The following is a 26539-nucleotide window of genomic DNA, read 5'->3' as shown; positions in this document are numbered from 1 at the left end:
CCTGGGTACCGGAGGGAGGGAGGCGGGCAGAGGAGGGGAGATGGGCACCCCCAGTCTTTCCATCCTCCTCATTCGTCTAGGGGCACCCGAATCCCCTATTCCTTATTTCCCCTATCACTCAGGCACTGGCAGGGTCCTTTGCCCACTCCTGTTGGCCGCTGCGGCTCCAAAGCGAGGTAAGCTGGTCCTCTACCCCTCAAACTCTTCACAACCCTCATCCCGTTTACTAGCACCTGCAAACCACAGCCTCCCTTCTTGTCCCATTAGTGAATTTAAATCGGATTTTGTTTTTCCTCTTAGTTGAAAGAAAAATAATCTTTTTGTATTCTTTTGCGTAACCTATCTCGGATTTGGAGAAAATTTTAATTCAAATTAATACGCTTATATTGGGGGGGTGAGTGGTACTTTCCTCCTTTTCAATAAATTTCTATACTTGCTACTTTATGGAGAGTTTACTTTTCTTTGGGGATGAGTTACACCTTATGTTTTCACATGTGTTACTTCTTTAATGATAAGTTCAACTCTTTTCTCCATTCCATCCTCCAATTTTGCTATTTATAAATATCACCTAATGGATTTAGAGTTTATTCATTTTTCTCCTCCCTCACTAGTTTTTCAGCTGTTACAGAATCACCACAATTTATTTTTCTCTGTATGTGGATGAGGTTTTGTGTTGATTCCTATTTTGTTTTGTAAATGAATTTATTGTTTGGGAAACTCTTGGGGGATGTGTGTGTAACAAAGGTCTCTTGATTAATTCCAACCTCTCCTCTTCTGAAGAACAATTTGCTTGAAATGTTTTGAGTATTTTCCTCATTTTTATTATGTCTAAAATTGAGGTATTTTACCTTCTTTAAAACCTGGCCTCTTTTTAAAATTTAACCTTTTGCATGTTAAACCATTTTTAAGGTTTTTATTTTATAAACTGCAATGATTAGTAGATTTACTTGCCTTTCCCTGACCTCCTTCACACGCCTGCCTCCTCCATCTCAAAACTCCCATCCCCAGCTTCCACAATTCTCAGCTTCCAATGGACTCATCCTCCCCTCTCCTCCCAGCCAAGGAGGGATGCCTGGGAAGTAGACAGTGTCCTTCTTGGGTCAGAACCTATGCTCTGGTTCTAGTTCAGGACACCTCCAGTCTGACCTCCAAGCCGGCAAAACGAGTGAGAGAAGAATTTCTGCTCAACTTTTTCATTTGGGACTAAGTTCTTTCCACTTGGCTGTATTCTGGAGAACTCTGATACATGAAATTGAATTTTAAATTCTCCTTTTTTCCCTAAATTCTAAGAAAAGTGCAGGCAGATTGTTTTTCTTCCTTAAATGTAAGCTGTTAGCTTAGGGGTCAGCCCTTTGGGTCTTTTATCTCCTGAGGGAGACTTCTCAGAGAGACACACAGTGTTGATTCTTCCTTTTAGTTTTGGGTAAGGTAGAAGGGGCAGGGAGTGGGGAAGCCCATATTGATCTCTGGCTCTAGCTCTGAACAAAGAAGGGTAGAGAGCTGGCCTGGGGACTTGTCCCTTTGGTCAGTAAGGTTTGGCTTAGGAGAGAGTTTGAAGTAAATCCCAGCTCTGAGGAAATTCTTCTTTTTAGCATTACTGTGAAAATAAACTCTTAAAATGGTGTGACTTGGCGTCAAACTATTCAGATTCCTTGAAGTAACAAAAATAAACTTACAAGAGTAATTTATGTTTCCCAAAGATCCGCCTCCAGTGACTGTCCATTTCTCTCAGGGAAACAGAACCCAACTGGGCAGAAGTAAAACTGCCACCCTTCCCCTTTCAGTTCCCCAGTCACATTGACATTCTGGGCACATTTGGCCCAGCCCTCGTCCCTGCTTCTCCCAAGTATGAATCTAAATTACTATTAATAAGGGGCCGCTCCAAGTTAATTGGCATTAAAAGAATTCATTTCAATTTGTTAATATTAAATGAATGCTCTGCACTTTAGCTCCCTTCTTCGCCCTGGATTCCCAGATGAGTGATGGGAAGAAGGGGCAGGGAAGTAGAATGAGGATTTTATTTCTGGCTCTCCAGCTTAGCCACTGTGGTGCCTCCCCTGGGGGTGTGCAATCAGGCACAGTGGGGGCCTGCTTGGGGAAGGTCTGATGGTCTTTTTTGGTGAAATTCATCTGTTTTAGCAGGAGTTGTGGGGGAGGGTGGGTGGGGAGCAGAGGGAGAGGGACAGAATGGTTTGGGGGACTTTGTGGGGAGCAGAGGGTCTAGAGAGAAAGTGGGAAGGGAAAGGGACAGAGGTCAACAGGAGTTTTGGAGAACAAGGGTTGTAGGCTGTGGGGGGTAAAGCCGATTTGTGAAGAACTGGTGATAGGAACTAAACAACCCACCTAGAAGGGGAGGGGCTTTGAGCAGGGGTGGGGAGGTGGGATTTGAGGCAAAACAGCTAGGAGTTCTGAAACTATTAATATCTAGCTGTGTGACTCAGGGCAAGTTGCTTAACTTTTCTCTCTGCCTTAGTTTCTTGACCTGTAAAACAGGGATACTAATAATAGAACTTATCTCAGGGGGTTATTTGGAATTAGAGGAAATACATGCCATGTGTTTTCCACAGTGCTTGACACATAGAACCTGCCAGTAAATGTTAGCTCTTTTTATGGCAGAGTGGTTAACAGGATGGATTCTGGAGCTAGACGGCCTGGTTTTGAATCTCAGTCATGCCTTATGTGAGTTGTATGACCTAGGCAAGTTACTTAACCCCTTGTGCTTTAGTTTCCTTGTCTGTAAAATGGGGTTAATAGTACCTAGCTCAAAGGCTGCTGTCAGGATTAAATGAGTTATATGTACGAAGAGCCTGGAACAATGCCCATCCCATAGGAAACACTATGTAAGCATTAGTTGTCACTGATATTGTTGCTCTTCTGATCTAGGAAGGTTGAAAATAGAGGCACAGGTGAGCTACTACTTACAGGCTAAGACTGGAATCAGATCAACTCTTTCACTCCTATCCCTGAAGCTAGTCCTGCAACTGGGGCTGCATATGAGGGCTTGGGGAGAGATCCTATAACCCTGGAATCTGGGATATCCAAGTCCTTCCTCTGCTCTAGCTCTTGGGTTGGTGGTCCCTCCAAGACCCATAGACTCGAAGTCACTTCTTTTTCCCTCAGCAGGGTTGGGGTGGGGCTGGTAATGGGAGAATTACTTTCTTGGTCTAATAACTCCCTTTAGTAGAGAGTTAGTCCTGGGAGTGTGAGTTGGGGGAGGTTGGGTAGAGCAGAGGAGATTAAATATCCTTTATGTACCAGCCCACACACACTTGACCTCACCAGAGGGTTGGGAAGACAGAGATTCAAAGAGGGGAAGTGATCTGACAAAGTCCTAAAGCTAGAACTTGGCAGAGTTGGCATCTGAACTCTGATCTGCTTGATGGCAAACTTAAAGCCCTTCCATTGTTGCATGCTTTTTGAAGGGAGAAATGGGACACGTGTAAACTTGGGCCAGGACCATGGGGTAGATGGAAGATGGGCGAAGATAGAGTATTGGAGTGGGAAGTGGCCAAGCAGGAATGTTTCAATCATGGAAGATTTCCTGAGAAAAGGGATTCCACATCAGGGTTCAGATGGTAGGGGAATGAGGATAGGAAGTAAAGAAGAGGGAGGGAGCCATGCATTGACAAGGAAGGAGAAGAAAAAACAATTTATGCAAAGGCTGGGTCAGAGTAATGGACATGAGTTCAATTTGCCTTGGGTTTGCCTTACCATTTATTGAAGGCATACTATGTACTAGGTACATACATGATCACATTTGATGTTCACAACAGCCCTGACAAGTGGGTTTCTTATCCCTATTTCCAAAAGAGTTCATTGAAGTTCTGAGAGCTTAATCCCCGCTTTAGGTTACACAGTAGTAGCTGGATTTCCTGGCATCAGAACCCTCACCTACGCTGCCTCTGAGCATGGCTTCTGTGCCCCAGTCTCAATTTCCATGACTGTTTCAAGTCCTCCTGTTCCCCCGCATTTGTAGTCATTCTTGGTGACTGGGAACGAAGGGCTAGAGCGTGAGCTGAAACTGAGACAGGGAGTGGCAGGCAGGCAGTGGGGACAGAAACTTTTCTCAAATCCACCCATGTGAAGAAGATGGACAGAAGGGTGGTCTTTCTGGAGAGAGGCTTCCAAGCCACTTTCCCAAGAAAGACAGCTGATCTTGGGATGAATGGCAGGGACCTGATTGGGTAGGGGATGGCTGGTCACATTGTTTTCTGGGCTGTAGACTTTATTTCCCTTCCTTTGGGAAGAGAAGAGGAAGAGGACAGCTCAGGCGTGGGTTTGAGCCCTGGATTAAGACTGCCCATTGTCCACTAAAATCTCTTCTTTCCTTGCTGCACGAGGGTGGAGGGACACCCAGCTGGACACTCCATTTCCCAGCTGCTCTTATTGCCAGGTGTAGACACAGGGGAATGTGAGGTGAGCATGTCCTCAAAGCCTGACAGATTGGGTAAATTCTCCCTTGTGTTCTCTCTTTCATGAGCTGGGCAGATGTGCCTGACACAGGTTTGACCAGGCAACTGAAAAGACATCTCTAAGAGAAGACAAAGCAAAGGTATGAAAGGAACACACGTCCCTGACTGACTAGGAGGAACAGAGCTGCCTGCTATCTGGAACAACTTCCTCCCAGACTAAGTGAGAAATAAACTTCTGTTTTCTATATGCTACTGTGTTTGGGGGCCTTTGTGTTATAGAAGTTTTGCTGTCATCCTTTCCAATTCACCTTCTCACACCAGATATTTCAAATTAAAAAGATTATATCAGGCCAGGTGCGATGGCTCATGCCTGTAATCCCAGCACTGTGTGGGGCTGAGGCAGGTGGATCACTTGAGGCCAGGAGTTCGAGACCAGTCTGGCCAACATGGTAAAACCCCATCTCTACTAAAAAATACAAAAATTAGCTGGACACAGTGGCACACTCCTGTAATCCCAGCTACTTGGGAGGCTGAGACAGGAGAATTGCTTGAACCCAGGAGGCGGAGGTTGCAGTGACCCGAGATCATGCCACTGTGCACCAGTCTGGGCTACAAAATGAGATTCTGTCTCAAAATAAAAAACTGATTACATCAGATCACGGAATAACTATAATAATATTTATTGGGCCAGATAGTATGCAAAGGACTCTATGCACATTATTTAGTGTAATCTATGTGACAATCCTCTGAGATATGTGTTACTATTCCAATTTAAACAAGAGGAAACAGGTTCAAGGAAGGTAAGTTATGTGCTGAGGGACACACAAGAGGGAGTGGAGCTGGATTTCAAGCCCACTGGGTGTACAGAACTGAGCCTCTTCACCATGGGGGCAAATCCCTCCTGAGGACAGGGCTGGAAAGGCCATGGAGATCATCTTGTGCTTGGACAAGCCTCTCACCAGTCACCACAGGGCCCTGACTCCCATTCCTACCTTCAAGAAGCTCAGCAGGCTACTACTCGTGTTCATGTTGGGTCACTACATACGGTTTTATTTGAAGGAAGGACCCCAGAGTTAAACTCATTTGAAAACCCCTGATAAATTCAGTCCCCTCCCTCTTTTTACAGGTGAGGCCCGGAGAGAAGATATGACTTGCTTAAGGTCACACACTTAGTTTCTCTGTCAATCTTTCTAAATCGAGGACGAGTTCTCTTCCCACTGTATCAGGCTGCCTCAACAAACAGGGAAGTACAAAAATAGCCAAATCCAGGAAGGAGGGCAGTGGTCTGTGTGTCCTCCAATTATTTCATGGGACAGCCAAGCCTATTTTCTTGATTTCCCTTGTGCCCCTCCTGTCGGATATCTGCTTTGGGACCCATCTCTTTTGGGCTTGCAGAGAGAACGGGCTGCACCAGCTCTCTGCCCTCTGCATCACCCAGATGGTCAAACATGCAAAGGGAAAGGAGAGCTGGGGCCAGAGTCAAGGCAGGCAAAGAGACTCCTCGACCCCCTCCAGTCTTTCCACATTTATATTTTTGGAATTTCAGGCTCCCTCCTCCCCCGGGACCTTTCCTAGTAGCCCACCAGGGAGAAGAAGAGGGAAAACTGTCATAAATTTCTCCTATTTATACAAGATGACAGAGTTTCTTGTGCCAGAAAAAACACAGAAAGGGAGCTGTCAGGGGAGAAGGGACCCAGCCCTATACCTTCTGGGGTCAATTTATCTTTCTGAATCATGGCTTGGGGGCTACCCTAACATTACCTGTATGAAATGCAGGCTTTGACTTGGGGCAGCCAGGCCAGACAGCCCCTGAGCTTTGTTTCTGATCACAGTTTTCCTGCTTCATCTCAACTTCCCCCTACCCCTTATGCTGTCTTTTTAAAAAACAACCTTCTTGAGGTATAATTCATGTGTCATACAATTCACCATTTGAAATGTACAATTCAATGGTTTTAGTATATTCACAGGTATGCCAAACCATCACCATAGTTAATTTTAGAACATTTTCATCACCTTAAAAAGAAATCTTGTAACCTTTAGCTATCACCTCCCTATCCTCCCATATTCCTTCTTGCCCTTAACAATACTAATGTACTTTCAGTCTCTGTAGATTTCCCTATTCCGGACTTTCATATGAATGGCATCATATAATAAGAGACCTACTGTGACTAGCTTCTTTCATTGAGCATAGTGTTTTCAAGGTTCATCCATGTTGTGGCATTTATCAGTACTTCATTCCTTTTCAAGGCTGACTAATATTCCATTGTATGGATATATCACACTTTGTTTATCCGTTCATCTATTGGTGAACATTTGGGTTTTTTCCACCTTTTGGATATTATGATTCTCTCTTTCCTCTTATTCTCTAGACATCTTGGATAGTATCCAGTGAGGCCTGTGGGCAAGAATGGGTGTTTCTTATATTTGGGAACACCTAATATCCATGAAAGCAGGGTCTTGGCACATGTCTGCTTTCATATTAAGTACACGTACTAGCTGGAATTTTCCTCCCTCTGTTGTTACTGAGTTGGGGCTGCTCCCTCCTTTATCAATTCTCCCTTTTTATCATGATTGCTATGTTGGAAACTTGCTGACTCTTCAGACTAGGGGATTCAGATCCTTCTCTTGGGGCTTCAGAGACATGGAGTGGATGAATGTCTTCCCATGAGGGAGAAGTTCCCTGAGTCTGGTCTCAAGTGATTATCCAGTGCCTCACAGTGGAAGGAAGGTCTGTGAAGACTCCAGGGTCGAGGGAAAGTTATGTTCTTGGAGGTATGACTGAGCCCAGAATCCAGGCCTCCAGTGTCCATCTCCTTGCCTGGCCCATTTCAGTCTTCAGACATGCTTTGAGGTCAATCCAGTCACTCACCCAGCAACAGACACTGCCTCTGCCCTCATGGACCTTGCAGTTCTAGTGGTGAGAGTAAGATGAATACAAGTGAACAAAATGATGGCAAGTTGTTCAAGCTTGTTCAAACTTCTAAACACTGTTCAATGAATGAATGAACCAACAAGAACTTACTATGTGCTCTGGAAAGAAAATGTGAAAAATGTCGAGTTGTAAATCACTTTCTGCTACCGCTACCTTTCCTAGTCTGGAAGTCAGCATTACTTCTCCATCCCTTGGAGGAGATAGTGGGCAGATATTACAAAATGTTAGCTAAAAAGAGCTACCATTTATTGGACCAGACATACACCAAGGGGTTTCTATAGTTCATTAATTTTCACCCTTTGAATTAGGCATCAATATTTCCATTTTGAAGATGAGAAAAACCGAAACTCAGGGTTTAAGTAGCTATCTGAAATCACACCCATAGCAGTAAGTGGCAGAACATTTGCTCTGGACACTGGGATAAGTATGTGTGTATGGGTTTTTTTGTTGTTTTTTGTTTTCTGTTTTTGTTGTTGTTGTTGTTTGTTTGTTTTTGGGATGGAGTTTTGCTCTTGTTGCCAAGGCTGGAGTGCAATGGCATGATTTCAGCTCAATGCAACCTCCACCTCCTGGGTTCAAGTGATTCTCCTGCCTCAGCCTCCTGAGTAGCTGGGATTACAGGTGCCCACCACCACTCCTGGCTAATTTTTGCATTTTTAGTAGAGACGGGGTTTCGCCATGTTGGCCAGGCTGGTCCCAAACTCTTGACCTTGTGATCTTCCCGCCCCGACCTCCCAAAGTGCTGGGATTACAGGCGTGAGCCACTGCACCCGGCCATGTATGTGTTTTTATGCCTAGCACTTCATAACAAATGCCAACATCTCTTTCTGCGGCCCTACCACAGAGGGAGCTGATCAGTTTCCCCTCCTGCCCAAAGGCAAAGCAGCCACAGTGGAAGTGCCTGAGTCCTCCCTCACAGCCTTCTGTCTAGTGGTTATTCCCGCTTCAAGGCTAAGGAAGGGAAGGACCCGTTTTGCCTTCAAAGGCTTTTTCCTTCCAGCCCTTGCTGTGCAGCCCGTTGTGTGTGGGAGGAACCATGAGAGGCCTGGATATTGTCAACAAAAGACTTGAACAAGCCAAAGAGCTGATTATGTTGACAAGAAGGGGACCTTAACAAGGCAGATAATCAAAAGCTGATGACTGACAGCCCCTTTCGCATCCCTTCACCCTCTACTAAATCAGGTCTCTTACATGATCTTGATGACAAATAATAAAAATTATAAACACATTACAGTTTTCACATGCATTTGTTCACTTCTCACAGCAAATATGAGAGGTATCTAAGGCTGAGCAGCTTATTACAGAAAAAAGTTTATGGGACTAGAACCTTAATTTTATGTAACAAAATTTATATAGAGCTTACCATGGATCATGTACTCTCCTAAATAGTTCAAAACTTTCATTTTTAGAGAGATGGGTGTCTTGCAGCCAGGCGCAGTGGCTCACACCTGTAATCCCAGCACTTTGGGACACCGAGGTGGACAGATCACCTGAGGTCAGGAGTTCGAGACCAGCCTGACCAACATGGTGAAACCCCATCTCTACTAAAAATGCAAAACACAAAAATTAGCTGGGTGTGGTGGTTCATCCCTGGAATCCGGAGACTGAGGCAAGAGAATCACTTGAATCCAGGAGGTGGAGGTTGCAGTGAGCTGAGATCATGCCATTGCACTCCAGCCTGGGCAACAAGAGTGAAACTCCATCTCAAAATAAAAAGGGGGGGAGCAGTCTTGCTATGTTACCCAGGCTGGTCTTGAACTCCTGGGTTCAAGCAATCCTTCCACCTCAGCCTTCTGAGTAGCAGGACTATGGGCCCATGCCACCAGGCCTGGCTGTATCTCATAACTATTAACTCATCTACTTTTTCACCACCATGTGAAGTAGGCATTACTGTTATTCACATTTTTTAAGATGCAGAAACGAGGCATGGTAATCAAGTATCTTACCCAAGGTTGTACAGCCAGCAGGTGGTAGAACAGGCATCTTGAGCCCAGCCCCAGCATCTGTAACCACTTCGCAAGGTGGGCATCGCATGGGGACTACACTTGAAACTCTAGTTTGTTAGTCTGGTGACCCTGCTTCCGCCTGCCTCCCTCAGTCTTTATGGCCCATTGGAAAAAGTAAGCCAGAGCTGTGGCTCCCAGGGTGACGATCCTTCAGCTGCATCCTTGACACTGTCATTCCCTCCTCCCATCTCCCACCAAGGGCTACAGCCGAGAATACCACAGACGGTTTGCCATGGATCAAGATTTCTCTCAAGAAAGAGCTCACAGAAAGGCTGCTGTGAGAAAGGAAGTCACTTGCTACTCCCCTTATTCCTCCATCAGGAGGAGCTAGATGAGGTCACTGCACATTTGAGTGGGTGCTATCAAAGCACAGCCTCTGGCCAGCGTGGAGACAAACGTGGGCTGTGTGGCCCGTGACTCAGTGGCTTAAAGGAAACCTGAGGTGGTAGGTGATGGAACTGATTGAAATAAAACTTCTGTAGGAATGCTGCATGCCATTCATTCAACAGTGCTCCCTGACCAGGTCCCAGGGCTGTGCATATGAGCTGCAAATGGGTTTGTTCATTCATTTACGTATCTATTTGCTTATTTATTCAATAAATTCTGATTATGCCCCTAAGAGGCACTGTGCTAGATATCAAGGAAGAACAAGACAAAATCCCTTCCCCACAAGGGCTCCCGGTCTAGAGAGGGGAGGAGGAAGGGAGATCCACAGTGATTTGTATCATATGCTGAGGAAAGAGAGTCATTTACTATCACCGTTTGACATCCTCACCCCCAGTGCGGTCCTTCTCTTTGTCTCTCCATGCTGGGAGTGGGCAGTCCCTGCTATGCTGCCCTTCAGACACAGCCCTCTTCCCTCAAGCTGCCCTCTGCCTGGATCCCACCTTCCTTGTGAGCTGGAGTATTTGCTTGAGGGAGTCTTGACTCTCCTTCCCTGTCAGTCACTGTTTGGCTGCAGGCAGTGACAGTGGTGGCAATAAAGCAGCAGAGAGGAGGCTTTGGTATCAGAGCAGGGACTCACGGGTGGGATGGGACGGGGATGGTTTTATGTTTGCCCCGCTGTGTTCTCTGTGCTGCTCTGCCCAGGGAGGCTGACCTCTGCAGACTGTGTCACATGGGCCCCCTGATCTCTCGGCCAATAGAGTTCCCGGCTGAGAAGGGGGAGAGAGGAGTCAGGGTATTTGTTTCCTCCATTCCCTGTCAGCCCCCCTTTTTGCCTGCTTGAAGCTCTGGTGGTGGTTGTGTTTCCTCCTTGGTCACAGCTTTGCTGAGTGGCCTCTCTCCTGTGTCCCGTGAGCCCAGTTGGCATTGGGCTTTGGTAGAGATATTTCTATCCTGGTGCCACACTAGCCCTTATTAGTTTTCTTCATCTGATCTATGCCTTTAGAAACTGCCACATCACTAAACCCTTCAGTGAAACCCTCTCGAATGTGTCATTTATTTTCTGTTGCCACCCTGACTGGCTCACCTGGGTGCAGAGGAGGTGGGGACAGAGCAGGTTGGGGCTCCAGTTCAGCTTTGTTATCCCTCTTTTTCAGGGTTTCCCAGAGGAAGAGAGAGAATTTGGACAAATGAATGAGGAACAATGCTCTCCTGAGAGTTTCTTTAAGGGGCGAGGGTCACTGCCACTAGCTCCTTTGAAAGCAGAATTAAGAGGCAGTGCAGGAAGGCACAGCAGGAAGGCTTATGGTTAGACTACAGAGAAGGAAACAGCCACTGCTGGGGACCTACCCTGTGCTGGTCACTGACAAGCTGTCTCATGAAACCTTCCCAGACCCTCAACCCCTCCTAGTATCTTATCCTCATTTTACAGATGAGAAGACTGTGGCCCAGAGAGGTAAAGATCTGGGGAGCAGGATGGGAGCTTCACTTTGTCTCAGTTGCTCTGGCAAAGAGAAGCCTCACCTTGTGATCAAGGGATTGGGAGGGTGACAGATAAATTTTGGCTTAAGTGTCAGCATAGCACTGGGAATCTGGAGCTAGATGGCACTGGCTTGACTCCTTGGATCTGCCTCTTACTGGCTGTGTGATACTGGGCATGCCTCTGTTTCCCCATCTATAAAAATGGGGCTAATGATAATAACACCTGCCTTACAGGTTGTGTAGAAGGTTGAATTTGTAGTTGTGAGGTGCCCAGGAACAGTGCTGGCACACAGTGAGCACCATACACAAGTGTTAAAGAATGGAGCCTCCTGCTCTCTCCTTATTTTCCACCCCCTGCCCTCTTCTCATTGCCCACCTCCCCTGCCTTCTCCTCACCATCCTGAAAAAGGGTGAACAGCCACCCAGGAGCCCCTGAACGGGCATGTTGGTCCCAGGCCCTTTGTGAGCATGCTTTTCCCTGCCCTGCCCCCTGTCATCACCATTCTGGATGGAGCAGCAAGGACGGAGACACTTAGTTGGGCTGTCCACTCCAGGTCCAATGCCAGTGGGATCAGCTTTGATGGGATGCACACAGACTGACCTCTTCTCCCCAGCCTCTTCAACTTCCCAGAGCTGCAGGGGGCCTGGGAGTTCTTGGTAACAGCACATTAAACCTCTGTTTGTGGGAACTTTAATTTAAACACAAATTAGAGATGGCAAATGACTCTGGCAGCCAGATAAGCCATCCCGGGAGAGCAAGGAGAAAGCCAAGAGAATCAGCCCAGATAAGGCCTGACTTTAAACTACTGGTGATACCCAGAAGCCTGGGACAGATGAAATCTAGGGGTCCTGAATGAAGAACCCCAGAAGCTCCACACCCCAGTTGTCCTTGCTCTGGGCTCTATGCCAGCTCCCTCTCCTGTGTTCTCTATATTTCTATCTTTTTGCAAAATTCTAACCTGATTCTTTGGCTCCATCCCTCCCACCCCCACCCCACTGTTTTAGAGAATGCACTTTCTTTACTTTGCTTCTCATCTTCTTCTGTGACCTACTATTCTGAGAAAGTTCTACTTGTTACCTAACCTCCATCTATGCTACTACATTTAGAGTCTAATACATCCTGCTTAGTGGTAGCTCTGGGAGTTTCTGTTCATGTGGCAAATGTGGTGTAGTAAAAACAACCTGAAAAAGACCTGGGTGAACTTCTCTGCATCTCAGTTTCCTCATCTGTATGATGAGTGTGTGAGAAAGAATCTCTAAGGACTTGTAAACTCTGACTTCTCACAGAGAATCTGAGGACAAGGACATCCCAGGAAATCTCTATTGTTCTGGAACCCATGAATTTTCCACTGTTCTACTGTTTGGGAGTGAGCGTGGGGAGAGCAGTCAAGCCTGTTGATTCCTTTCTGGAAGGGGTCTACAGGCTTTGCTTCCACCCCTCCGCCCACAACCCAGGCTTAGGCCAGGCCCAGGCCCAGGAGAGAGGATGCCTTTTCAGTTCTGTCAAGGCCTGCTGAGCCCAGCTCTGTGGGGCTGTGGCTGCTAAGATGTTGTCTCCATCCTCTGGGGTAGGAGCAACATATGTTCCCTCTGTCACAGCACCTGTGAGGGTGGCAGAGGGATGGCAACCCCCAAGAGGGCAGAGTTCCATCTCTCCAACTGACTTTGAAGCATCTTTTTATCCTGCTTTTCTGGGAGGCTTAAAGTGAAGGCGGAGGGAGATATCACACAGTCCCAAAGCCCCCACTAAATGGGGAGCTACCGTCTTTCATCTTTCATGCAGGGTAAAAGAAGACACCTTGGCTACAGCAAGAGGAAAGAAGGTCAAACCACAGGCAGAACTTTCAGGTTGAATGTTAGAGCAGACTGTGATCCCAAGAGATCATCCAAGACCCTTGGTCTCAGAGGATGCCTATGAGGCCCTGGTCCCTGGCTGGGGTGGGAACAATAATCTCAACAGCCCCATGCTAGACTGACTTGGGAGTCAGAAGGTCCCTGGGACTAGAATAGAAGGACTTTGGCATTTTCCCTGGCCTAGGGCCCTTAGACAGAAGTGGGCAGCTGCCATCAGGAGCCTGGGGCCCAGCTGTGTCCACACCTTGCCCGCCTCCCCCCTCCTGAGTGCCTGGCTGCCCCTGGAGCCCCAGGCTTGCCTGCCATCTGGGCAGCTCAGAGGAGAGCCCACTGCCAAGGGAGTGCCAGCGTTGATTTATGGCCCACAACCTTGGCAGGCTCAGGCTGTGTGCCCGAACTGCCTTTGCTCAGGGAAGAGATGCTCCTCTTAAAGGGACAGTGCAGAGGAATGCAGGAAAGTCCAGGACGAAAGCTTGGCAGGGGGCTGGCAAAAAAGACCTCCACCCATCAGCACTCTGGGTGACTGTCACTCCCTAGGGAAACTTCTCCCTAGGGAACCACCCATCATACATGTTATCATACCCTATCCTTTGTAGACTTGGCCCAACTGTAACATATTAATATGTTTACTGTCAGTCTCTCCCACTGGACTGTAATCTCTAGGAGGGTAGGAACCAGACCCATTGTGCTCATTCCTGAATATTCAGCACCAAACACAGTGCCTGGCGCCTAATAAGATCTCAGTAAGAATTTGTCAAGTGTAGGAAAGAATGAATAAATGAAGGTCCTTGTCCATGAGGTGGAGGGAAGCCCACGTGTCTTCTTAGTGCCTGCCATGGTTTCCGAGACCCTGCGGCATCTGCTGCTACCCCCAGGATCTCTCCCTCCAGGACCCTTCCTCACCCCTGTCATATCAACCCAGGACCAATGGGGCCAATCTTATCTGGATACCCTTGCCTTCCCACTTTCCTTGAGTCACCTTTCTTAAGTCCTTCACACAATGTTCTTTTCCTCCCATTTTCCTTCCTCCAAGATACTTTCTCAGATTACCTACAGCCTCAGTCCTGGATTCAGATACTCTTTCAGATAATCTTTTATTTTTTTATTTTTATTTTTATTTTTTATTTTTCTTGAGACAGAGGCTCCCTCTGTCACCCAGGTGGAAGTGCAGTGGCAGTCTTGGATCACTGCCACCTGTGTCTCCCAGGTTCAAGTGATTCTCCTGCCTCAGCCTCCAGAGTAGCTGGGATTACAGGCTTGTGCCACCATGCCCAGCTAATTTTTGTATTTTTAGTAGAGACGAGGTTTCATCACATTGGCCAGGCTGGTCTCGAACTCCCGACCTCAAATGATCTGCCCCCCTCAGCCTCCCAAAGTGGTGGGATTACAGGCATGAGCCACTGTGACTGGCCTATCCAGCAATATTTACTGAGTATCTACTATGCACTGGGCACAGGTTGCCAAGAATTCATGAATAAATGGAACAGGCATAATCCCTGAACTCAAGGACCATACATTTCAGAGAGTGAAACAGACAAAAAAATAAGTAAGCAAGTTAGCAAATAGATACATGCAATTTTGAGACCTGTTGTGAAGTGGGTAATCACAGACAGGGTGGAGCAGCGACCCTTTAAATTGGGTGGTCAGCTAGGCATGGTGGCTCACACCTGTAATCCCAGCACTTTGGAAGGCTGGGGTGGGCGGATCACCTGAAGTCAGGAGTTTGAGACCAGCCTCACCAACATGGAGAAACCCTGTCTCTACTAAAAATACAAAAATTAGCCAGACGTGGTGGCGCATGCCTATAATCCCAGCTACTTGGGAGGCTGAGGCAGGAGAATCGCTTGAACCCGGGAGGCGGAGATTGCCATGAGCTGAGATCGTGCCATTGCACTCCAGCCTGGGCAATAAGAGCAAAACTCCGTCTCAAAAAAACAAAATAAATAAAATAAAATAAAATAAAATAAAATAAAATAAAATAAAATAAAATAAATTGGGTGGTCAGAGAAAGTTTCTCTGAGGAAGTGACACTTGGGCTGAGGTTTGAAGAATGAGAGGGAGCCATGTAAAGAGTGAGGTAACAGCATTCTAGAAACAGTTCAGTCACTTGGGTGTGCACAGCAGCATTTGGGGGATGGGAGTGGGAGAGGAGCTTTCCCAAACTGCACTCTCCTATCTCTTTTACATTTTGAAAGCCCCTGCCCTTCTAATGTGGGAGGACCACTGCTTAAAATCTTTGGAGAAGCAGCCCTGGCCTTACCTGGAAGCTGGTTAGAAAACAGAGCTCAGGTGCCACCCCAGATCTACTGAGTCAGAATCTGCATTTTAACCAGGTCCCAGGTCATTTGTATGCACAGTGGTGTTTGAGAAGCAGTGTTTCAGGAAATACCTCACAGGAGGGATGGAGTGTGAGGACATCAGATGATGTGAGGTGGGTGGGGTTGGGGGGTTGGTTGCTGAAGAGTGGATTTGAATCAGAGATGGGGGTCTGAGTGTGTATATGTGCCTCTGTGTGTGTGTTCCTCCAGCCCTAATGACTGTGGGCTATATGAGGATGTGCATCTCCAAGCGCTTTTCCTTCCATGGGTGTGGAGTACCAGGGGATACATCTTTATCCCACTGTGACAATGCCCCCACTTCCACCTACAGCTGTGAGTCAAACAGAATCTGCCAACCTCTGGGCGGTGGGAGCATCTCGGAAGCAAGGCAAGGCAAGGAGAGCCCTTGTTCCTGACCTCCGGCAATCCATTTTATTTGACCCGAGTCTCATAAAGGAGTCCTGATGAGCCCAATCGCTTGCTAATGGTTATGAGCCGAGACCTGGGGATTTATGGCTGAGGCCTCCGTGGCCACGAACAGGAGTAGGGCTACGCAAAGGAGGCCAGGCTGTGCATGGCTTCAGTTCATGGAGGCCTGTACCCAGAACCACCGCGGAGACTACCACACCCCCACCTCCAAATCTGGGGCAAAGAACATTGCCCTGGGTGGGGGAAGCTGGGCTAAGGAGAAAAAAGACCTCTGGCTGGAGATGTCCAGGGATGAAGGGTGAGTGTCTGGGAAACTGGTCTGACTTGGCTGGGTGGGGTGTAGGGGGAGATACTGGAGAAGTGAGTGGAAAGGGCACGGGAATTGGAGCCAGTCAAACTGGGGTTCAAATCCTGGATCTGTTTTGCACCCGTGTATGACACTGGACAAATCATGGCTCTCCCTGAGCCTCATTTTTCTCATCTGTAGATGGGAATTGTGACGCTATCTCATAGGTTTGTGAGAATTAAGTGAGGCCAGGTACGGTGGCTCATGCCTGTAATCTCAGCACTCTGGGAGGCCAAGGTAGGAGGATTTCTTGAGTCCAGGAGTTCAAGACCAGCCTGGGCAACATGCTGAAATCCTGTCTCTACAAAAATACAAAAATTAGCCAGGTGTGGTGGCATGTGCCTGAGGCTGATGTGGGAGCATTGCTTGAGCCCAGGAGCTTGAGACTGCAGTGGGCCATGATCATGTCACTGCACTCCAGCCTGGGTGACACAGTGAGATCCTATCGAGAGAGAGAGAATTAAATGAGATAATGTTTGTGAAAAGCACTTCGAATACCAATTGTATATATTTAAGTGGGTCAAGAGATTGGGATTCTAATTCCAACTCCACCACTAACTTTCTGGGATTCTAGCACTGGTTTTGTTACAAATGGCTTTTTTTTTTTTTTCCTGAGACAGGGTCGCACTCTGTCGCCCAGAATGGAGTGCAGTGGTATGATCTCAGCTTGCTGCAACCTCTGCCTCCCAGGCTCAAGCAATTCCCCTGCCTCAGCCTCCTGAGTAACTGGGATTACAGGCATGCTCCACTACTGCCCGCTAATTTTTGTATTTTTAGTAGAGACAGGGTTTCGCCACGTTGGCCAGGCTGGTCTCGAACTCCTGACCTCAAATGATCCACCCGCCTTGGCCTCCCAAAGTGCTAGGATTTCAAGCGTGAGCCACCCCGCCCGCCCAGTTACCAATGGCTTTGTGACCTGGGGCACATCACAGACCCTTTCTAAGTCTTAGTTGCCCCACAGATACTAAGAGGGGACACAGTGCTCTTTTGGTTGCCTCCAGCTCTGATGTTTTGTAGTTCTAACGAGGAGTCCTTATTTGGAAATGGAACTTTGGAATGGTTTGGATCTCATTCTGGCCATAGAGAGGGCATCATTGCAACTGTGGCTTCAGGGCCAATGTGCGGTTAGGGGGGCTGAGTCAGAACAGCCCCCTCTTCCTCAATAGTGCCATCCTGTGAGTATAACCCCTGTATGGGTGTTGGACACAGTGTTGGGGAAGACTGTGCAACAGGGGTAAGTAGGAAAGGCCCTGTGGTAGGGGGTTAGCTGGGTATCCATGGAAATGCCTGAACTACTCATGCCTTTTGCACAAGTAGGTCTTCAAATAATCTCTTCTGCTTCCCTCTTTCCCACTCTTTCCCTGTCTAAGGTGTGTGGTGGTGGTGGTGGTGGTGGTGGTGTGTGTGTGTGTGTGTGTGTGTGTGTCTAACCTGATTGGGAGAGTAAGCCAAATGGAGTGAAGTGGAGAAACATCCCCAAAAGTCCCAGGTAGAGACCTAAGGATTCCTAAATCACAGTGCAGAACAGGGTCCTCTACCCTTTTCCCATTCTGGGAACATCCTGAAGCCAGTCATTGTGGGAGAGAGACATGATCCCCAACCCAGCCTCACAGACCCCACCCTTCTTCCACGCTTTGCCCTACCCTCCTTTCTTGTGCTTGTATCCTAACCTTAAGCCCTAGAGACTTCTAGGTACCCAGAGAGCAGCCTATTCAGTGATGTTTACTGAGCGCATGTTATGTGCCTTGCACTGGGCCTGGAGCAAGGGCTAAGGAGTGAAATTAGACCTGATCCCTGTCCTGAAGATGTCACAGCTGAGTAGGCAGAAAGACTTTAAACAGATAATGGCAACACGATGTGCTAAGGAACATCAATGTACAAGATAACAGGTAGTCTGTATTTATGGGAGAGGGAGGCATAAAAGAAGATGCTTCAGCTGCTTTCTAAACATGTTTGTCGTGGAACATTGAAAACATATGAAAACAGAGCAGTATAGTGTCCTCATCATGCAACTGCAACAATGGTCACACCAGGATCTTGGCGTGTCTATACTCCCACCCACGTTCCATACCCCACTGCACCATTACTTGGGGTGGAACTGGGTTGGTTTTGAAAGAGGAACAGCAATTCCCCAAGTAGAAAGTGCTGGAGGGAAAAGTTTGCAGGCAGAGGGGATGCTGTGCTCAGAAGCTTGAGCAGTGCCTGATGCTGGTACATCAAACCGAAGCTGAAGGAGTGGGACAAGATGCTTTGGCCCCCGTGCATTCTGGCCCTAATGCATCTGTCACACAGCATGCCCTGTGGCTCCTTTTGGAACTCGGGTCTTCAGGCAAGTCTTCGGAAGAGCCAGGTTAGCGCAGAGCCAGCCCTTTGAGTGCAGGGAGTGAGGAGGCACCGCTAAGACGGCGGGCCTTGGCTGGGCGTCCGCGGGGCTTTGGTGGGCCTAGAGCGCTAGGGACTGGCACGCACCAGCACTGAGGGGCAAAGCGGGCGCAGTCAGGCCCTCCACCCCGCGTCGGCACGCGGTCTTAAATATTACCCCGGAGTTTTCAATTATCTCTCCTTAATGGATTTGCAGGGGCTCTTTCATCAAGCGCGGGGTGGCTGGATGTGGGGGTGCGGGGAGCGCGCGGCGAGGGCTGGAGCTGGGAAAATGGCCCATATTTCAATATTAAAGCCCTTTACGATCGTCAGCAGCATGAAAGATGCTGCAAATTAAACGGAGCCGCCCGCGCCAGCCTCTCCATCTCGCAAGTTTTAATTAACGCTGAGGGGGAGGCGGCTGACGGGCGGGTCGGAGCCGGGCCAGCGGCGGATCTGGGAGCCTGCGGATCCCAGATTCCGAACTGGAGCGTCAGGGATCTCGCGGGCCAGGCCAGGCGGAGGCGGAGGGTGGTGGGCTCCGAGTCCCGGGCGAGGGCGCGGAAGATGCCCGTGGAGATGGGCAAGGCTGAGGGGTGGGGGACAGGTTGGAAGGTCTCTGAGCATCTGACCGGGAAACAAAACTCTGCAACTGAATGCAGGAAGCTTTGTTCTTAAAGGTGAGGGGGCTTGTGGCCAAATCATCGAGCTCTTCATCCCCAGGCTCCTTCAGCGCGCGTCCTTCTGCCTCTCTTCTTTCGACCAGCACTTCCCCCAAACGCTCCCCCGCGTTGATTCCCGGTCCCCTCCCACCTCATCCTGTGGCTCCTTGTTTCGGGACGCAGTTGTGCTTCTGTGACCCCGCGGCTCCTGTTCTGGGACGTCTGCTTTCTCCATCACTCCCTGGCTTCCCGGGCGGGCCCCATCCTCCTGAGCGGAGGGGAGCAGCGCGCACAGAAGCGCCACTGTTCTGCCTTGGCAGGGCCTGGCCCGACAGCTTGTGCCTGCGCAGCAGACCCATCCGTCAGGCGGGAAGGATGGAGCGACGTCCGGCTGCCCGCTCTGAGGACTCCCCAAGGGAGACACATCTGGCCTTGGCCCAGACTCCTCTCTTCCCTTCTCCCAACCCGCCAACCCTTCCCCCAACTACCAGCTCAGTATATACTTCTGTCTCTCCTGCTTTCCTTGCTTCTCCTCCTCCCTCCCATACACATGCAGCCTGGGGCCTGGGGCCCAGGAGAGCTACTCCTCTCATGGGTCACACTGAGAAGTCCTTCCTCCACCTGCATCCACATGGCAGGGCATAACTCTAAAGCTTAAAAAGATCCAGCGATCTCAGTGGACCACAATCCAAAGCTAAGTCAGCCAATCAACACTCAAGGGCTTAAATCAAGGACTTTGGGCAAACCCTATAGAGTGGAGGAATTAGAAAAATAATACAAATAAAAGACATGGTCATTATTCCTGGGTATTTACAGATACTTCTTTGTGCTTCCTGAAATGTTTTGCAGAAATCACATTCTCCTCTCATTGTGCTACACAGCTTGTAAGCACCAAGACAAGAAATTCTATGATAAAGCAAAAAGAAAAGAAAAGAAAAAAATCCTCTTCTACTTTCTTCTTGGTGTGTATTTTTTCTTGTCAATTTCTGATAATCTATCAAGCCTACTTAAAATAGTGCCTGCTTATGCAGTATGGTTAGGATGATGAACACACTTAAACAGGATAGGGAATAAGTACAAACTACAAGTGCTGTGGGGATGCAGAGTAATAGGACAAGTGGTGAAAATTAAAACATTTTTGGCTTAATCAAGGAGTACTTCCTGGAAGAGGGGAGACCTGATTTGGAAGGAGAGGTGATATAAACTTGAAAAGAAAGTTCCAGATGTGGAAACACTGGTTTTATTCTTTATTTTTATTTTGAGACAGGATCGTACTCTGTCATCCAAGTTGGAGTGCAGTGGCACGATCTTGGCTCACTGCAACCTCCACTTCCCGGGATCAAATGATCCTCTGCCTCAGCCTCCTGAGTAGCTGGGACTACAGGTGTGTGCCACCACACCCAGCTAATTTTTTTGCTTTTTTTGTAGAGATGGAGTTTTGCCATATTGCTCCAGCTGGTCTTGAACTCCTGGACTCAGGCGATTCCCCTGCTGCCTTGGCCTTCTAAAATGCTGGGATTATAGGCATGAGCCACCACACCTGGCTAACACCGGTTCTAAAATTAGGCAGAATCTATATTTTACTTCAGGTTGAGGAGCAGATAATCTTGGCTATATTTTCCCTGACAATACAGTAAGATGAAAGAAGCCTTGTGCAATAGCAGGAAGAATTCAGGGTAGACAGTGGGATCTTGGCTAATGCTGGAGACTAAAGTGAATGGAGAGAGACCCTGAAGCACCCTTCTCCCATACTTGGCTATGGGCTATGGGAGGGATGCCTGGACTCTGAGACTTGGCCACCATGTTTTGTTTTGCCATTAGAAGATTTGGACATGAAGTTGAATAAGGCAGGAACGACCTCACAGCATCAACCACAACCCCCAATGTGGCTGGAGAAGGAGGGAGAGAGGGCAAAGAATATCTTCCTCTTACTCAGATTGTAAGTGGAGAAACTGAAGTCCATTCACTCAAATCCATAAGTGTCTACTGAGCACCTCCTATGTGGCAAGCACTATATAGGCCCTAAGGATCCAGAGATGATCAGGGCATGGTCCCTGTCAACATGGTGCTCACAGTCTAGTGGGAAATAGAGTTCACTCGTCATTCTATCATTCAATCAAAAACAAAAAGTATTGAGCACTTACTCTGAGCCAGGCAGAGTTGCAGGTGCTGGAGATGCAACTGTGAACAAGACAGACCCAATCCCTGCCCCATCAGAGAGTACTACCTGGTGCAGAAGACACATACATAAACAGGCAGCTATAATTCAGGGTGATGTATGCTATGAAGGGGAAAGGACAGTTGCCATGGGGTGGCATATCCATAGATATGCCATAGATCCATAGGTTCCCATGAGGGGATCTATCCGAGTCTGTGAAAGGGGATGTGAGGATGATGTGGAAGAAGCAACACCAAATCTGATCTGCTCACAAGGTGCGCAGAAGTCAAGTGTGGGATGGCATGGGGAGGGTGTCCTGGGCCGAGAGTTTGTGTTCCTTTTCAGCATCTTACTAGGAGCTTGTGGCCAAATCAGGCCCAGGCAGAGCTTCTTCCCTCTAGTCACAGGATAGCACTGGCCTGCACCAACACAGCTCTTCCAACACCAGCAGGGGAAACCAGATGATAATCCTAACAGAGCCAGACCAAGGAATGAGGTTATCAGTTTTCCTTTTTCTGCTGGGAAGTTTCTGCCTTGGGGCTAGGCTATGTAGGGGGAGGCTGGGAGGTGGGAGGGCACTGTGGAGGATCTTACTCGTTCCACCCTCCTCTCACTGATCCTAGTTTTGAACAAGAAACAGGTGATCTGTTTCTCTAGTTGCAGCTGAATAGAAACCAGGACAAGAAAGTGTTGTCCTCCCCAGACACGTTTCTGTCTCCTGGGTCCTAACCAGCTGCCTACTTGAGCCATCTGACTTCAATCCACAGGGCCTCCCAGGAGCTGAATCCAGAAGGGCAAGAACAAAGTAGCAAAGCAGGAAAGGGCATTCAGAAGAGAACAGCATGGGCAAAGGTCCCAAGGCCAGAGGACTTGGAAACTGCAAGTCCCTCAGTGTAGAGATGAGTCTGTAGAGGAGGTTGACACAAGCTTGTGAAAGACCCAGTATGCCAGGCTAAGGGGGTGGGAACAGTGAGGGACACTGAGGGTTTTATGGCTTAAATTTTGACAAGTGTATCTACATATAGACAACTAATGTAACACTCATTTTTTTTTTTTTTTTTTTTTTTTTTTAGAGATGGAGTCTCACTCTGTCGCCCAGGCTAGAGTGCAGTGGTGAGATCTTGGCTCACTGCAACCTGCGCTTCCTGGGTTCAAGTGATTCTCCTGCCTTAGCCTCCTGAGTGGCTGGGACTACAGACTGATCCCACCACAGCTGGCTAATTTTTTGTATTTTTGGTGGAGACAGGGCTTCGCCATGTTGGCCAGGCCGGTCTCGAACTCCTGAGCTCAAGTGATCCACCTGCCTCAGCCTCCCAAAGTGCTGGGATTACAGGCAACACTTTTTTTATTTTCTTTTTTGAGACAGAGTCTTGCTTTATCATCCAGGTTAGAGTGAAGTGGCTCAGTCATAGCTCACTGCAGCCTTGACCTCCCGTACTCAAGCAATCCTTCTTCCTCAGCCTCCTGAGTTGCTGTCAATTTTTTTTTTTTTTTGAAGAGACAGGGTCTCACTATGCGGCCTAGGCTAGTCTCAAACTTCAAGAGACCAAGGTGGGAGGATGGCTGGGCTCAAGAGATCCTCCTGCCTTGGCTTCTCAAAGTGCTGGGATTGTAGGCATGAGTCACTGCCTGTCCATATAAAGTAACACTCTTGAACTCACTATCCAGACTTGAGGTTTTGTTAAGTTACTGTTAAAATTTTGTCAATTTTGCTCTTGAGTTTTCAAAATAAACAGGTCATTACAGATAAAGTTGAAGTTCCCTTTGTCCCTTCCCCAGTACCATTCCCCTCCCTTTCAGAAGCACCACCATCATATATTTTTTCTATTTTTATCATAGATATATATCCATGGATAACATTATAAGGCTTCAGTGCATTTTAAAAAGAGGTCCAATGGTTATGATATAATTTATAACTTTAGTTTTCCATCGCACATTTTTAAAAAAGTCTTTATTTGAGGTTTTCGGCAAAGTGCTGACAAGGGTAAAACTAGCGTTAGAAGATCATGCTGGTTACCAAGTGGAGTATTCCAGGTGACAGAGGAGGACCAAGGATGGTGACAGTGGGAAGGAGGAGACAGAGGTAAAAGGAGACTCCACACCACAGGTCACTGGTGATCGCCCTGTGAGGGCAGGGTTGTTTTATACATGCTGTTCTTCAGCACCATGAACAGGGCCTGGCTGTTGGAGATGCCCAGTAAATATCTGTTGACAGAGAAAGGTTGACAGGGGCAGATGGATCCAGGATGACTCCCAAATTCCTAACCCAGTGCAAAAGCCTGGATGATGATCCCAGTCTCCATTATGAGGGCCCCAGGAGGAGAAGCTGGATTGCAGGGAAAGATGAATCCAGAAGCCATCTCTCTGATCTAGAGGAAACGAGGCTGTGCTGTGTGGAAGGGATTAATGTTAGGAAGCAGACCAGACTTCCATTCTTAGGACAGAAAAAAATCTTGTAGCGGGTAGTTCAAGGCTATAAAAGATCTGAAGGGACCCAGAGATGGTAAGAGTGGAAAGGTTCAGTCCTGCTGGGGGCAAAGGGATAGTTGAAAAACAAGCCAAAAACAATAATCACTTTCCTCAGAAGGCCAGGAGGGCAGGGCCCAGCTTCTCCATCAGCCACAGTGAGTGTCTTATAGCCCTCTGTGCGGTGGGTACCCACAGCCCATTAGCCAAGGCAGAGGAGGAGGAGGAAGGTATAGTAAGTGCATCTAGGATCATAAAGACCTTGTCAGATGCCCACACTCAACTTTGCTCCCACTCCATATTCATCAACAAGATGGAAAAGTGGGGTGCTCACAACTGCTTCTTAGGACTTATTCTTGACCAAATTCAATTTCTCTGTTCAGGGAAGGATGTGAAATATAACCTGCTTTCCAACTCTTAAGACCTAGAGCTCTGGCTCTTCACCTCAAAAAGCTACCTTCTGCAAGAGCTCCCTCAAAGTCACTGCCACCCCCACTTCCTCACCCCACCACCCCTGCCCCAGGCACAGCCACCACCCACCCTCTGCTGCTAATTCACCTATAAATGGTCTCCTGCCTTGAGTCTCCACTCAGTTTTGTTCTTTCTCTAACAGGTTCCACTCCCCTGAAAGCCCACCCGATCCTTCCTGTTACCCTAGCGCTGACTTCCTAAATGAAGTGCGGTGGCTTACAGTTCTGTCCTTCTCTGTTTTTGTCACTCTTTCCACTCACAATTCTTTGGGTCCTGGCTATGGTTAAGTGGCATTTCTCTACTTCATCCCTGGGTGCAGGGACAGAAATGCTTTTACCATCCCCAGTGCCCCTCTCTGGGGGTAGCAGAGAAGTCACTTTAGTTTTGTTTGGTCTGGTGGAGTAAGGCACGCCCTTCTTTCAGAGAGGGAGCTGTCATGGATCTAAGCCAGTCCCTGTCCTAGGAGTACTTGCAATTTAGACTTGCTCTTTAGTCAAGGAATTTTAAATATTGTAAAGCAATGCCGTAGCTGGAGGGGGAGAATCTTGGAATCCCCTTTCCATGAGTCTGCTATTTGAAGGTGTGGTGGGATCCCTTGGAAGTGTGGGCCCCTTGTACTCTGGATCTAATCCTTAGAGTCACCAAAGGGCCAACATAATGATTCTCAAACCAATCTGTGATCGGTCCCCTCATACCTTGAACTTGGGCAGGCTGCTAATTTTTATCAGAGCAATACACCCTGTAGATACCACCTCCCTGAACTCTAAACTGAGCAGAGCTCTAAACCATCAAAGAATCAGGCTATATAGACTTCCACCTTAAATGGGTGTAGATTCAACATGATTCCGAAAGTCACATGACTTGCCTCGCTAACCAGGGTTCTTCCTCAGTGGGGAAACTACTTGGGCCATTTTTCCTTCTCCTTTTCACCTACCTGAATTATTACATTTATTTATAATTAACATATATTGCATGTAATATTAAAAAAAATAAAACTTAGAAAGACTTGGTGGTGGGTGCTGCTGAATTAGGTATCAGAGCCCCAGTTAGGTGGGTGTCCTGTGGAGTTTCTGATGAATCAAAAGCCGTTGTTGGGCACTTTAAAAACATGGACGCCTTGAGCCCTGGGCAGCCCCAAGGCTGTGACTACCGAGGGCACCCACAGAGGATTAGAACTGGGGCACTGGAATGAGAGGACCATCAGAAGCAAGGCCTGGATGCTCAAATTCCCACCACAGTCATAAAACTTAAGAGCATCTAAGTCGCAAGCAGCTTTTAGTTTCTTTCTTAAGAATCCAACTAATCTTGTGTTCCGCCTTGTAGCCTTCTATAAAGTGTGACCATTCACTTGGTTGATGATTAATGATTCAGCTAGTAATTATTAAACAGAAAGGAACCAGAAATAAGAATCACAAATTTACACAAAACATTTTGTGTTCTTAATGCTAAACTTGAAGGTAAAACACTAGGAAGGTAGAAAACACACTGTTGCTATTTGTTTTGTTCTTTTAAAGAATGAAGAAGTCAGATTTCCTGGTCCTTGTGTAGGCTCTCTTCCTGACAGGGTTTCTCAAACTTTTCTGCCAAAGTCCCTTTGTTATTAGAGGCAGGAGGGTAAACTTGGACCCCAGCAGTCTGGGGGATTGCCCTGAAGGGCCATTAGCAAGGACCAATTATTTCTTTTTTTTTTTAAAAAAAGACATGTTTAATTAAATAATAGGTTACTTCATCTTCATTATTTGCATTATATAAAAATAGGATTTTTTATTAATAAGAAAATAGCAGATTCTTTTGTGGCCTTAAGTTTTAGCTCTAAAATGATGCAAAGTTTGCATTTTATAACGTAGTATATTTTATACAACTTAATATAAAAATGATGTTTTAAACCATCTGCCATCAAAAAACCTCTGTGGCCCTCAGAGAGGCTTCTTATATATCCGGGGAAACCCTCAGCGAGCAGCTACTGCAGTGTGGCCTGGGGAACTTGCACCCAGGTGAGAGGTGCTACGGGGTGTGGTGGTTTGTTAAACTAGCTGCCACTGTCCCAGGTTGTATCTTTAATGACTACCATTTAGTGAGCACTACTATGTGCCAGACTCTACGCCAAATGCTTTTATATGCTTACGCCATTTAAATTCTCACAACCACCTGCCTAAGGCCACACAGCTGTAAGGTGGCAGAGTGGGGATTCAAACACCTGTCTGCTTGGTTTCAAAGCCAACTGTGACCCCCTGCTGACTCTTAGAGGCCAAGGCTGA

General features: G+C 47.5%; 1 long non-coding RNA gene across 1 annotated transcript; it reads left to right on the top strand.

The window, feature by feature from the left end:
- Positions 1-14: 14 nt before the first annotated feature.
- FAM242F (family with sequence similarity 242 member F) lies at positions 15-4659 on the top strand. Its single transcript, NR_135136.1, has 2 exons — positions 15-176; positions 4481-4659. It is a non-coding gene; the product is annotated as a family with sequence similarity 242 member F (long non-coding RNA).
- Positions 4660-26539: the final 21880 nt, after the last annotated feature.

The sequence above is a fragment of the Homo sapiens genome, chromosome 9, assembly GCF_000001405.40.
Source record: "Homo sapiens chromosome 9, GRCh38.p14 Primary Assembly".
In the NCBI taxonomy this organism is placed as follows: domain Eukaryota; kingdom Metazoa; phylum Chordata; class Mammalia; order Primates; family Hominidae; genus Homo; species Homo sapiens.
The sequence above is the reverse complement of the archived record's forward strand: the minus strand, read 5'-3'. Positions and strand labels throughout refer to the sequence as shown.